This window comes from Homo sapiens, chromosome 17 (assembly GCF_000001405.40).
Source record: "Homo sapiens chromosome 17, GRCh38.p14 Primary Assembly".
In the NCBI taxonomy this organism is placed as follows: Eukaryota; Metazoa; Chordata; class Mammalia; order Primates; family Hominidae; genus Homo; species Homo sapiens.
In genome coordinates this window covers 57,330,362-57,343,929 of record NC_000017.11, presented here as the reverse complement: position 1 = coordinate 57,343,929, position 13,568 = coordinate 57,330,362, and the positions used below count along the sequence as shown (strand labels likewise).

Here is a 13,568-nt window from a genome sequence, read left to right as displayed (position 1 = left end):
ACACAAAAACACTTACGTCGTGTTCTGGCCAGGAAAGCATAACTTGAATCTAGTCATGAGGAAATACTAGACAAGAATGTTCTATTGGGAAAAGGTGGGGGAGGATTGTATTCTTTATAAATGGCAATGTCATAAAAGGCAAAGAAAGGCTAGGGAAATATTCCAGGTTAAAGCAGACGAAAGAGTCATCAAAAAAACCTAAATGTTATACCTGATCCTCCATTGTATCCTGTACTTGAGGGAAAAAGAATTCTATAAAGGACAGATTGGGGCAATTGATAAAACTGAAATGCAGATGGTAGATTACATAAAAGCACTGTATCAATGCTGGATTTCTGAAGTTCATAACTGGACTGAAGTTGGTAAGGGAATATCCCCATTAGGAACACTGATGTATTTAGGAGTGGAGGGTCACAATGCGTACAATTATTCCCTAATGACTCAAGGAAAAAACCCTATTAGTGAAAAAGAGAGCAACTGATTGAGCAAAGAGGGTAAAATGCTGATAAAGGATATATGTGAGTGGAGCATACAAGGATGTTCTTTGAACTTATCCTTAAAAACTTTCCTGTAAGTTTTAAATTACCTCCAAATAAAAAAAAAAAAAGCAAAAGGGAGAGAAGGAAAGACAGTTGACTTGGTAGATAAAGCTGGGGACTGCACCTCCTGGCTTCGAACTTTGCTCATCTCAGTTGCTGTCCTCCTTCTAAGCTTAGCTCCATTTCATCTGCAAAGTGGGTCAAGAGGGCTTAACCCTTCCCTACCTCACAGGCTGTGCAGAAAGATAAAGTAACAAACAAACGTACAGACAGCAAAATTGATTGTAGTCACATTTTCTGAGAGAAGTCATCATGACCCGTGTCTCTTTTTTTAAAATCTGCTATCAGATTTTGCAAGATAATATTGAACTTTTGCAAAGTTGGGTGACCTCAGAAAAGGAATAAATGTCACAGAACTCTTTAACTGGTATTATTAAATAAATATTTGCTTAAACACAATCCCCAAAGTAATCAATGACTATTTCAAAATGTGTGTGTATGTAAGTAAGACTTATAATGGCAAAAGACAGGGTAATATTAATACATTAAAATTTAAAACAGCTGTTATTTAGAATGATGTGATTATAACTCATTTTCCCCTTCTATCATTCGAAGTTCATGTAGTAGTATTTTGGTTTCTAATTTTTTAAGATGGTTTTGTGGTCACTGAAACATTACTGAAAGTCTTCAAAAATTCACTTAATTTTCACAAAAAGACATGATACCATCAGATGCCAGTTAACTCCAGAAGAAAGAGACTGCAACTGTGAGCTGACAAAGTGATTTCTGCATATAAAATGAAGAACGGACAGTCTGGAAGTTTTTAACTAATATCCTCTCAATTTTCTAGTCCAGATTTAGACTTTCCTCTGAACAAGAGGAAAAGTCATTCTTCAACTTCATGTCTTCGCTAAAACACACTAGAAGTCAAATCATGAGCTACAAACTTTTCTACTAAACTTTGTCCTCCAGTGCTCCCTGGCTTTCTTCATCCAGGCACAGACCAACATGAAGATTTGGAGAAAGACCAAAATCTCAGGGGGTGGCCTCTCAGAGCGTTCAACCAGGAAGGTAAACAGCGTTCCAACCCTGCCTCTCACTACCCATCCTCCTGCTGATGGAGGGACCGGATGTCCATGTATCAAAGAGGTGTTTTGCCAACATCCCTCAGATCTGTATCAAATATAATTTTCAAACCAATTAGCTCAAAAAGCATCACAACCAAAGCAGTATCTCCCACATTCTCATTACGGGGCCATCCTATTCAATTCCTAATGAGAGGAGAGACAAAGGCAGTAGATGCAATAGGATCTACTTCAAAAATTCTTTTTTCTTTTAGAAAACAGATCCTCTTTTGTTCTGGTTAAACACCAATTACTCTGCTCTAACATGCAAATCAGCTGAAAATAGGGCAATATGTAGCTCACTCTGGTTCCATGGCAAGTTAGAAGGAAGAAAAGAGAAAGAGAACAAGGAGGAAGAAGGAGAGGAAGAAAAGAAAGGGGGAAAAAAAGAGGGAGAGGAGAGAGAAAAGTTGAGCAACAAAGGCAAATCCCTGGAGGTCTTCAATTCCAAGTACTCTGTGCTGACATAAAGCTCTTTTCAAATGGCTTTTTTGTATTATCTGTGGCGGTGCCCACAAGCGGTGATTTTGCCGTTATCCAAAAAAAATAAAGCAAGAAAAGAAAAAACACACTAAGGTGTACAATACAAGCAAGAAAAGCAAAAGCTGCCAACAAAGCTATTTACGTAGTGCTACCACTTGCTACAAACACTCTCCCAAAAAGTCATGTTCTCAGCACAATGTACCAGGGAGTGAAAGAGGAGGGCTCACCTTGGCAGAGGGGCCAACAGACTGACAATAGGAACCTGGTCGTACACAGGACATCCTGGCCTTAGATGGTACAGGGTCCCCAGCCAGGCGGCAGTGTGAGGACCAACCCAGGATGTACCCAACTCCAGTTCTCACTCAGGCACTGTTTGGTTTTTCCCCACTTTAGTTACACTTAACTCACTTCCATCTTCTAAATACGTGATTACCTTTCTTTTAAATGCAGGTGGGTAGGTAGAAGGGCACATCCCAGTTCTTCTCAGACCTCCTTCTGCACACACACCACTGCGAGCTGGATAAGATGCAGATTATTTCCGACACGTTCCTAGGTGATGCTGGGGCCACACTGAGCTGCCAGCATCCTTCCCAGCTCTGTCCTGACTTGACCTCCTTCCCTGGCCCACCCCAGCCCTGGTTCTGACTGGGGAGCCCCTCTCTACTCTCATATCATCCATGTTCTAAAAGAAGAGGGCTAGGGAAAGGTGCAGCAGCTCTCTCACACCAGCCCTGGGGCAGCATCTGAATTTGTCTACATGGACCTGCACTTGAGCACACCCCAGGACAGAATGGATACCGGGGGAGCAATGCAGATCCCAGGTCGGAGGTGAACCTGTATTCCTGCTGAGGCTCCCTGCAGGTGCAACTGCCAGGGCTTCAAGCCAAGGAGGAGCAGCCAAGATGCAAACAGTGACCAGGGACTGGGCTTCCCTGCTGCTGGGCTCAGATGCGCTGATAAGAATGTCTGGCACGCTGGAAATCGGCAGAGAGTGTACCTGCGTGGTCCCCATGGCCCAATCCCATGTCTACCCCAGAGTCAGAAGGTCAAGTACCCAATCTCTATCCCAATCAAGACTCAAGTGTCTACCTGACAACACTTCCCAGTGTCACACCACCCTCCCATCCCCCAGAACCACAGGCCATTGCTGGGGAGGCTTCTGCGGTAAAATGACTCAGCCACAATGATGGGGATCCTCTACATTTTCCCTTCCTTGTCCTGCCCTCTTTACAATCAAGGTTGCCAGGCAGAACATCAATGCCCCTCTATTTCTCATGCCCCACCCTTTGTTCCAGGGCAACAAAAGGAAGGAACTAATATTTGTTAGTGCCAGAGCTTGATCCATTATATTTCATCTCATTTCAGCCTCCAAAGAGCCCTGCAGTGTTGACACTGTACCTCCATTCTGCAGATGCAGAAGTGGAGGCTCTGGGAAATGAACCTTTGGCTGTACTGGCAAAAGGGTTAAGTACAGCACAAGGGTTAAGGCAGTGCAGTGTAGTGGCTGGGAGGAGGTGCGTCTGGAGGCCGACTCCTTGGGTTTGCACAATGGCCCATCACTTACTAGCTCCATGGATCTGAGCCTCTTTGAAGCCTAGTAAGGTAAGAATAATACCTTTCTCAGAGGGCTACTGTGAGGACTAAATGAGACATCATGGAGTTAAGGTAAGCCAACCTAGGGCAAATGGTCAAGAAATGTTAGTCAGTATCACTCAAGGTCAACAAGCTAGGAAGGGCTGGAACCCACACTTGAGCCCAGGTGGGCTGAATTCCAACACCTCTGCTGCCCAGTTTTGGGCAGGCTCACAACTTTATAGCAGTCAGTTCCATTCCCGGTCACTGATGAGCTTCTGAGGGACCGCCACACTGGAGGCCAGGGACCTTGGGGAATCCATCTCAGCTGGGAAAATGGTTTTCCAGGAGGCCATGGCCCAGAATACACCCTAAGCACAGACCATGGGAAGCTGGAAAAGTTTCTGGGAGTCAGGAGACCCAAAGGTCCTCAACTGGTGATGGAGACTCACGGGTGGAGACACAGAAGCAGCCCTACCAATGACTGATCACAGGAAGGCAACAGTTCACCCACTGCAAACGTGCATGAGCATCTTTCCTTGGAGAGAAAATGTCCCAAAGAATGAAAAATGGATATACTGTCATCATGGCAGGGTGTGAAACGAAAGGCTGAGAAGTTAGAAACACCAGGAGCATGGCAAACGGGACTCAACCCCTTGCACACAGACCATCATCCACGACAGCAGGGCAAGTCCGTGCCACAGGGAGGGGGCCCGAGGGAGGGAGGAGCAGCCCAAACCAACGCTGCCAGTTCTTCAACCAGAAGAGAAAGCATCACGCAAGTGGAGGCAGGAGCTGAAGGATGGTCAGTGCAGATCAAACAGAAGACAATGGAAATGGCTTTGACTTTCTTAAGCGTGCATGCAAGAATGAAACACTTGGAAACCGAGTTGGCTTTTAAGACAATCCTGAATCAATCCGTGAGACGATGATCTAAATATGCCGACCCCCTGGAGGCTGCCCAAACGCGAAGCCACCACTCACCCTCTGCTCAGTGAAACCGGGTGGTGCCTCGCGGGCTGCTTGCCTTTCCCAGGAGCTCCTGTGTGATGGACAGTTCTAAGGAATACCCTATAATCTGCATTTATGCCATTTGTCTCTTTGATACAAAAAATACAGATATTTGCGTCATTTATTTTAACGTCCGTGATTTTCTTTTGAAAGCCACAAAGAGAAAGAAAAGTCTGATCCCCTCTCCCCCACCACTTCTTTAGATGCCTGAAAACTTAAGCCTGGCACCCCTGACAAGCCAAATTGATCTGGAAAGCCTCTTCAGAGAGGCCAGTTGCATTAAAAGAACAAATAAAGGACTCTCCTTGCAAAGGAGACAAGGAAGACAAAGGGGAACTCAGGGGTGGGGCCCTTCCCCATCTCGGCAGCCCCTGTAGGTGAAGACAGGGAGGCAGGGCAGTCCCTGCGTGAGCTGCTCATGCCACATTATCTGCTTTGTGGTAGAACTCAAACCACAGCCTTGAATAAAAAGCCATAGCAGGGACCAAAATGAGGAAGAGAGGTTTTCAGCACCAACAAGATGGAGAGGCTGACAGGCAGGCACAGCTCCCCGGGTCAGTGAATTAACACCAGCCCGCTCCTCCAGGCAGAGACCCGGCTACGAGTTATGCAGCCTTCAGGGTCCCCAAGCAACTGGGATGCAACAAGTCTGCGTGGGGCCTGCCAAGCTCCTTATTCTTTATTTATGGTCTCATGGACAGAGACCGCAGAGATTATGGTCTCAGGCAGAGACTGCAGTGAGCCTAGATCGTGCCATTGCACGCCAGCCTTGGGCGACAGAGCAAGACTGTCTCAAAAAATAAAATAAAACAGGCCAGTGCAGTGGTTCATGCCTGTAATCCCAGCACTTCGGGGGGCCAAGGTGGGTGGGTTATTTGAGGTCAGGAGTTCGGGACCAGCCTGGCCAACATGGTGAAACCCCATCTCTACTAAAAATACAGAAATTTAGCTGGGCATAGTGGCGCACACCTGTAATCCCAGCTACTCAGGAGGCTGAGGAGGAGGATTTCCTAAACCCAGGAGGTGGAGGTTGTAGTGAGCCGAGATCACGCCACTGCATTCCAACCTGGGCGACAGAGAGAGACTCTGTCTCAAAAATAAATAAAAAACAAAATAAAACCCATACAAATCTCGTCCTTGGCGGTAAGGTATATTTAAAACGTATCTGTATTTTACATTGAGATGAGAGAACGTTACACACCAATTAAAAATCATGTTTTTACAACCATCTAGTAACACGTGAAAATTATTACTAAGTACTAGTAAATGCAAAAGCACATACACATGCACACAACACAGCGTGATTCTAATTCTGGGTTCTTTTCCAATTCTGTTTTTAAATACGTATGCACACAAAAATGATAATATACCAAAACATTCATTTATTTGCACTTTTCTATATGTTTTGAATCTTCTGTAAGGAGCATGCATTCATTTTCTAATTAAAAAATAAATATGAACAACCTTTCCTTCTGAAAAGCAAGCAGCCGCTGTTTTGGCTTGGCAAAAGACCAATTCATGATGTGAAGAAGGAGCCCCCAGCCCGAGTCACCGTCCAGCTAAGGACTCGACCGTGGTGCCAAGAGCAGCGCTTGTTGCCAAGGTGGTAAACACGACAGGGACAGCCGCCAGGGATTCTCACTGCCCCTGAGACCCAGGCTAGCCAGCGACACAGAGACAACAGCCTTCCCAGAGGAGAGAGCCCAGCCTCTGAGACACCCAGCCGTGAAGGCTAGAGGCCGAGAAAGTGGAGAGAAAATGAGTCTCAGAGACAATCAGATGGTTTTAAAGCTGTGAGTATTCGCATGGACCACACCAATGCCATCAGACAGTGGAAGTAAAATGTAATGACCCCAAAGGGGTTCCTGGGGTCAATCCTAGATTGCAGCATTTGAGAAACATGGGCCACTCTGTGGGGCCGTGGAAAAGAAAACAAGGGTTTTCTTGTCAGGCTGATCAGGGTCAGGGCCCTAGTCTAATACTGGCTTCTGTAAGTTGGGAAGAAGGTAATCAACTTCCTTGAGCTTCAGTTTCCTCATCTGGAAACCTGGGTTAAAATCCCAAGCCTAGAAGAGAATTTTAAGAGCCAAAAGAAATGGTGGTGCCCAAGCTCTGGAGGAGACAATGACAACACTGTGCAGACACAGGTAGCCTCTGGAGGGCCCCACATGGAGAGTGGCCGAGACCTCCAGCAAACAACCCTGCAAGGGATCCCGGAAGGCGAAGCTCCTGCTTGGCCATGTCTTCAGATGACTGCAGCCCAGAACAGCTGCTTAACTTCAACCACATGAGAGACCCTGAGTGGAACCACCCAGCTAATAAGCCCACTCCAGATTCCTGACCCTCAGACACCGTGAGATGATAAACGTTTGCTATTTTAAGTTGCTAAATTCTGGGGTAATTTGTTACGCGGCAGTAGGCAAATAACACACATTTTAGTTCCTCGCACGCAAGAGCTCAATATATAATGCCTATAATATTTCTTTAATTACTGTATGTTATAACAACCATAAGATGCAACACCAATTAATAACACCTTTTTCAAGAATGAAATGCCATCATATTAAATATGTACATTATTTAAATGCATTCAGATTTCACAAGCATTATGAACAAGAAATAAGTCTCAGAATGAAGGAAAGGCAGGTTACCTGTATATATTTCCTGATTGAGTAATGCAGTTTTGGTTTAAAGACCATTGGTAACACAGGTGATTTAACTACTATTCAAGTCCTGTATTACCCCGAAAAAAGAAGCAGTAAAGTAGATGGAGTCATTCCTCCAACTCTTTCCCAAAGAAAACGAGTAAGAGAAGAAGAAAACTGGGAATGTGGAAAGGTTTCCAAACGCTGACTTTCACCTCCAAAGCTATTCCTCACAGTCTTCTCCCATCATAGGAAAAGGCTTTTATTTGCTCAGGCCAAAAGCCTTGGCCTTACTCTTAATAGTCCTTTCCCAGAACTTCCTACATCCCAGTCTTCAGCAGATCCCATAGCTCAACCTTCAAGACATAGCTGGAATCTAACCACTTCTCACCACCGTCCTCACCACCACCCTGGCCCTTGGATAAGTGCAGCAGCTCCCACCTGCCCTCTTCACCGTTACCCGTGCCCTCTGCTGTTTCTATGCCATGCAGTAACTGGTGGGCCTCCTACACAGAAGTCCTCTCTTGTCAAACTCTGCTCTGAAGTCCTCTCTGCTCAGAACCCCACTGTGGCTTCCCCTTGCACACCGAATAAATGCCCAAGTCCTTATGAGAGTCTTACAGGATCTGATCTTCCTGTCTGTCCAGCCTCAGCTCCTTCCACTAGCCCCAAATAGTCTACCTGGACCTCCCTGCTACTCCTCACACATGCCAGCTTCTGCCTCTAGGCCTTTGCCATCACTGTGCTCCCAACCTGGAGCACTGTCCCTGAAGAGCACTCACAAGGGCCTTGTCTGACAATCCTACCTAAAATAACACTCCCCGTTTCACCCCGTTTCAGTCTCCATGCCTTTACTGTTTTATTCAGTCACAGCACTTATCGCTAATTGACTACTATACACACATCTCAGCATTTTGTTAAGTTCACTGCTCCATCCCCAGTGCCTACAACAGCGCCTGGCACACAGTAGGCTCATTATGTATGTCAGGAGTCAGCATCCTTTGCTATAAATGGCCAGGTAATCAACACTTGGCTTTGCATCCCTTATAACCTCTGTCAAAACTACTTGACTCTGCTGTTGTAACAAAAAATCTGCCATAGGCCATACGTAAACAAATGTGTGTAGCTGGGTTCCAATAAAACTTTATTTGTGAAAATGGGTGGTGGGCCAGATTTGGCCTGCCCGTTTAAGAGCTGGCTGGTGTAAAGGCAGGTGGGGGTCAGCTCACTTCTGTCACAGTCTTGAGGACTGCAAGGCAGGTATGGTCTAAGATTCTAGCACATCGCACAGCTGCTAGAACATCCACCAGTTACTATATTATCCACTTCAGAGGAAAAGCTAACAATTCATACTTGCTGGCTTCTCAAAGAAATGGCAGACAGGGATGGTGGGGGCTGGGGTTCGGGAAGACACCAACAAAGCCAAAATATGTCCAGAGAGAAATCTCCTGGCACTGACGGATTCCTGGTCAGTGCAAAAAAATAGTCATGAAAATAAATATATGCAATTCTGGCAGGACAGCCAGCTAGTAGACAAAGATTATGCTTATTTTAAATTAACTACAAAGAACAAATCATAACTACAGGGCACGGTTAAAAAAAAAAAAGCTACTTGCTCAAGTCTTTCTGCTTTAATTGCCATTAAATTCATAGTTCAGAGTCTCCTACCAGCCTTAGGTTGTCTCTCTTCCCAAACCCTTTTCCTCCATCTCAGTCCATTGGAGGACGTATTTTTTTATCTTATTTATTTATTTTTTTTTTTGAGATGGAGTCTCGTACTGTTGCCCAGGCTGGAGTGCAATGGCACAATCTTGGCTCACTGCAACCTCCGCCTCGTGGGTTCAAGTGATTCTCCTGCCTCAGCCTCCCGAGTACCTGGGATCACAGGCATCCACCACCATGCCCGGCTAATTTTTGTATTTTTAGTAGAGACGGAGTTTTACCATGTTGGCCAGGCTGGTCTCGAACTCCTGACCTGAGGCGATCCTCCCACCTCGGCTTCCCAAAGTGCTGGGATTACAGGCATGAGCCATCGCACCCGGCCAGAGGAAGCATTTTAATGAGATCTTGGGGAGTGTTGCTTTCAGAGGCGTTCCCCAGCTGCCCTGCCAGTCCTCAGCCAACCCCTAATGCCAAGCCCCTTTGCACATCCACCTTCAGCAGTGCCTCAGACAGCTCTCCAAGGGAAGCTGTGAGGCTTGCCATTTTTAATCACCACCTACCCAGATGGCAGAGGACCCTGAAGGGCTATTTCATTTCATCCAACCCTCAGATTTTATCAGCATTTTGCCATCATCAAAGAGTAGGGAAAAGACAGGAATCAAAAACCCTTCCATTCGAGGGGGCTTTTTCTAAACCTACTCTCACTTTGGTTATCTTATTTCAAACTCCGAAGAAATGCACAAGGCAGCCAAGCAGAGGCTTCAGTCTCCACGCATCCGTGTGTTCAGCAAATGTCTACTGAATGGCCCCCGGTTGGGGATGGGGGAAGGACAGGAGGAGACAGAAACCATGCTTTCCTGGAGACAACAATGGAGTGAAACGGATCACCAAGGTACTATAGGGAAACTAAGGCATGGAGAAGCAAAGTCATCTTCCAAGATGACAAACTGGGGTAAAGCCCTCATTGCTAAACCACACAGATGGATTGGGCCAGACATGCCACACTGTAGCTCGAGACAAGAGAAAGTACTTCATCTTTTTCTTGATCTTCTAAAAAAAGTATGCAGATCCTAGAGGGCAAATCTTTTTGTTTTTTTTTTCCCTTTCTTATTTAAAATAATAATAATAATACGTTTAAAAGGTACAAACCAGGCCAGGCACAGTGGCTCATGCCTATAAATCCCAGCACTTTGGGAGGCGGAGGCCAGCAGATCACCTGAGGTCAGGAGTTCGAGACCAGGCTGGCCAACATGGCAAAACCCTGTCTCTACTAAAAATACAAAAAAATATTAGCTAGGTGTGGTGGCACACACCTGTAATCCAAGCTGCTCAGGAGGCTGATGCAGGAGAATCGCTTGAACCCAGGAGGCAGAGGTTGCAGTGAGAGGAGATTGTGCCACTGCACTCCAGCCTGGGCGATGGAGTGAGACTCTGTCTCAAAAAAAAAAAAAACGGTACAAATCACAGCAGGGAAAAGTTGGCTTGGTAGATTAAGAATTAATCTGTAAAAAAGTCAGAGCTGGGAGAATGGGAGAGAAGAGGAAGAGCTCAAATGCCACTGGGAACTTTCCAGGGGGGAAAAATAATTCCAAAAAGTAGTCATTTGCTAGTAATAGATAAAGCTTACAGGCTGCTTATATGTTCTAGACACCTTTCCCAGGGTCTTTGGTATTAACTAACCCATCTAATTCTCACAGCAACGCTATGAGGAGGGAGGGGATATCATTTCCATTTCACAGATGTGGAAACTGAGGAACAAAGAGGTTTAGCAACTTTTCCAGGTCACACAGCCACTAAAGTGAGACAGCCAGGATTTGAGCCCTGGCATCTGACTCTTGCATCCGTACTCTTTTTTTTTTCTTTTTTTTGGACACAGAGTCTCGCTCTGTCGCCCAGGCTGGAGTGCAGTGGCATGATCTCGGCTCACTGCAACCTCTGCCTTCCAGGTTCAAGCGATTCTCCTGCCTCAGCCTCCCGAGTAGCTGGGACTACAGGTGTGTGCCACCACGCCCAGCTAATTTTTGTACTTTTTAGTAGAGATGAGGTTTCACCATGTTGGCTAGGATGGTCTTGATCTCTTGACCTCGTGATCCACCCGCCTTGGCCTCCCAAAGTGTGGGGATTACAGGCTTGAGCCACCATGCCCGGCCTGCATCCATACTCTTAAATACCATGCTAATCAGCCTCGCTCTCTTTCTCTCTCTCAAGAGAAGCAAGTTTTTACATTCTAAAGCTTTGCTAACAGCATGAAATCCTTGCTCTTTCTCTTTCATTGTGTGTTTGTTTTTAAAGTATTCTTAACCCAGTTCTTTGCACAAAGGCTCTGAGATGGCTAACAACAAGAAGCATAAAACCAACAGTAAAATTACAATTACAGAAAATCATGTCCATGGAAAGGATGTATTATAAATACAATAATAACTGGACCAACAGATTGTGACTCTCACACTGGACTCTCAGCTTCCTGGCAGCCCAAATAAAAATGGCAACATAGGCTGGGCACAATGGCTCATGCCTGTAACCCCAGCACTTTGGGAGACTGAGGCGGGCAGATCACTTGAGGTCAGGAGTTCAAGACCAGCCTGGCTAACATGGAGAAACCCCATCTCTACCAAAAATACAAAAATTAGCCAGATGTGGTGGCACACGCCTGTAATCCCAGCTCCTAGGGAGGCTGAGGCAGGAGAATTGCTTGAACCGCGGAGGTGGAGGTTGCAGTGAGCCAAGATCATGCCACTGCACTCCAGCCTGGGTGACAGAGTGAGACTCCATTTCAAAAAAAAAAAAAAAAAATGGCAACATGACCAATTACAAACTTTTCTTCATCAAAAGGAGAAAGGTTCATCAGTGCCTGGGAGAGGACCAAACTTTTCTATTATTAAATTTCCATACCATTTTCTCATTTAGTTTAAGAGACCACAATGAGGTGGTGAATGAATGTCATCACTGATATTTTTGAGTACGATTTTAAAGATCAAGGTTGTAACACTAAAAGCAACTCGAGAGTAGCAATTCTATAAAGAGCTAGGGTCATATTGTGTGTAACTTCCAGCTTTACTGGTGTAAACTTACAAAATAGAGAGAAGTTTAATATTTAAAAAAAATTCTCTGTAAACAGGCAGATCCTTGGGGTGGCTGATACGCCTTCACTGTTCTGAGACAGACCCTAGAAACGCAGAACACTGACGCTGGTGAACACAAAGGAAGGTTACATGCCAAGCACCTCCAGTCACATGCCGGTCACATGAAATGCAGCTTCAGGAATCCGCTGGGGCTTCCATGCACGTCTATACTGCATAGATGTGTCCTAGTCTTCAAAGCTTTCAGATCTCGCTCAGGAGGGGCAGAAGGAAAACAGCAGCTATTCAGATGATCAACCCTCACGTGGCTCACCCATGGTCCTCACCAGGGTGACAGTCCGACTCATCTCACATATTTCCTTTCTTGATATCTCTGCTCTCCTCCACTTAAGTTTCCAGAGAAGTTACTGAAAACCCAAGCTCCCACTCCCTCACCCTGCCCCCTCCCCAGCTCAGAGGCCTCAAAAAAGAGGTCTGCGTTGGGTTCCAGGTTCATCGAGGAACCACGTGGAAACACAGAAGACTGGACAGTGTGTCCTGGGCCAGTTCTTCAAGAAGTTTCATTATTTAATTTAAACTGCTCTGAGACACAAAGAACATGGCCAGGCGCAGTGGCTCACGCCTGTAATCCCAGCACTTTCGGAGGCCGAGGCGGGTGGATCACCTGAGGTCAGGAGTTCGAGACCAGCCTGGCCAACGTGGTAAAACCCTGTCTCTACTAAAAATACAAAAATTAGCTGGGCATGGTGGTGCGTGCCTGTAATCCCAGCTACTCGGGAGGCTGAGGCAGGAGAATTGCTTGAACTAGGACCCAGGAGGTGGAGGTTGCAGTGAACCAAGATGGCGCCACTGCACTCCAGCCTGGGGTACAGAGTGAGACTCCGTCACACACACAAAAAAAAAGAATAAAACCTCTTTGGGCAAGGCCAGGAATATAATCTAATCCCCCATTTTACCGAGAACAGAAACTGAAGTCTTGTTCAAGGTCACATACACTAGAAACTTGAACCCCAGGGTGCCACCCCAGCTGTGGTGCTCGTTCTACCACTGCACAATGCTTCCTTGAAACAGACAGAATGAAACCCAAGTGTTTTTTTTGAAACCATCCACCCACTTCAACACTCTGTTAGGATAATGGCCAAGGGTCTATGGATGCGGAACGCCTGAGAGACAAAAGTCTTCACAGGATCTGAATCATGCAGGTACCCTTTACAAGTTAGGAATTAATTAAAGGAGGCCGGACACAGTGGCTCACGACTATAATCCCAGCACTTTGGGAGGCCGAGGCAGACAGATAACCTGAGGTCAGGAGTTCAAGACGAGCCTGGACAACATGGCGAAACCCCATCTCTACTAAAAATACAAAAATTAGCCGGCGGCAAGCACCTGTAATCCCGGTTACTAGGGAGGCTGAGGCAGGAGAATCGCTGGAGCCCAGGAGGCAGAGGTTGC

General features: G+C 46.0%; 1 protein-coding gene across 10 annotated transcripts in view, besides 3 other annotated features; it reads right to left on the bottom strand.

Moving 5' to 3' along the window:
• MSI2 (musashi RNA binding protein 2) overlaps nucleotides 1-13,568 on the bottom strand; it is a 445,731-nt gene that overhangs the window by 357,652 nt on the left and 74,511 nt on the right. The gene's annotated exons all lie outside the window — the stretch shown is intronic.
• Nucleotides 5,146-5,295: an enhancer, noted in NCBI's record as "active region_12429". NCBI's record gives its function as "activates an Ori minimal core promoter by ATAC-STARR-seq in GM12878 lymphoblastoid cells {active_cell/tissue: GM12878}" and the evidence as "EXISTENCE:reporter gene assay evidence [ECO:0000049][PMID:35858748]".
• Nucleotides 5,146-5,364: a biological region, named in NCBI's record as "ReSE screen-validated silencer GRCh37_chr17:55415927-55416094".
• Nucleotides 5,197-5,364: a silencer, noted in NCBI's record as "fragment chr17:55415927-55416094 (GRCh37/hg19 assembly coordinates)". NCBI's record gives its function as "represses an EF-1alpha promoter that drives an FKBP-Casp9 reporter gene in an ReSE screen in K562 erythroleukemia cells {active_cell/tissue: K562}" and the evidence as "EXISTENCE:reporter gene assay evidence [ECO:0000049][PMID:32094911]".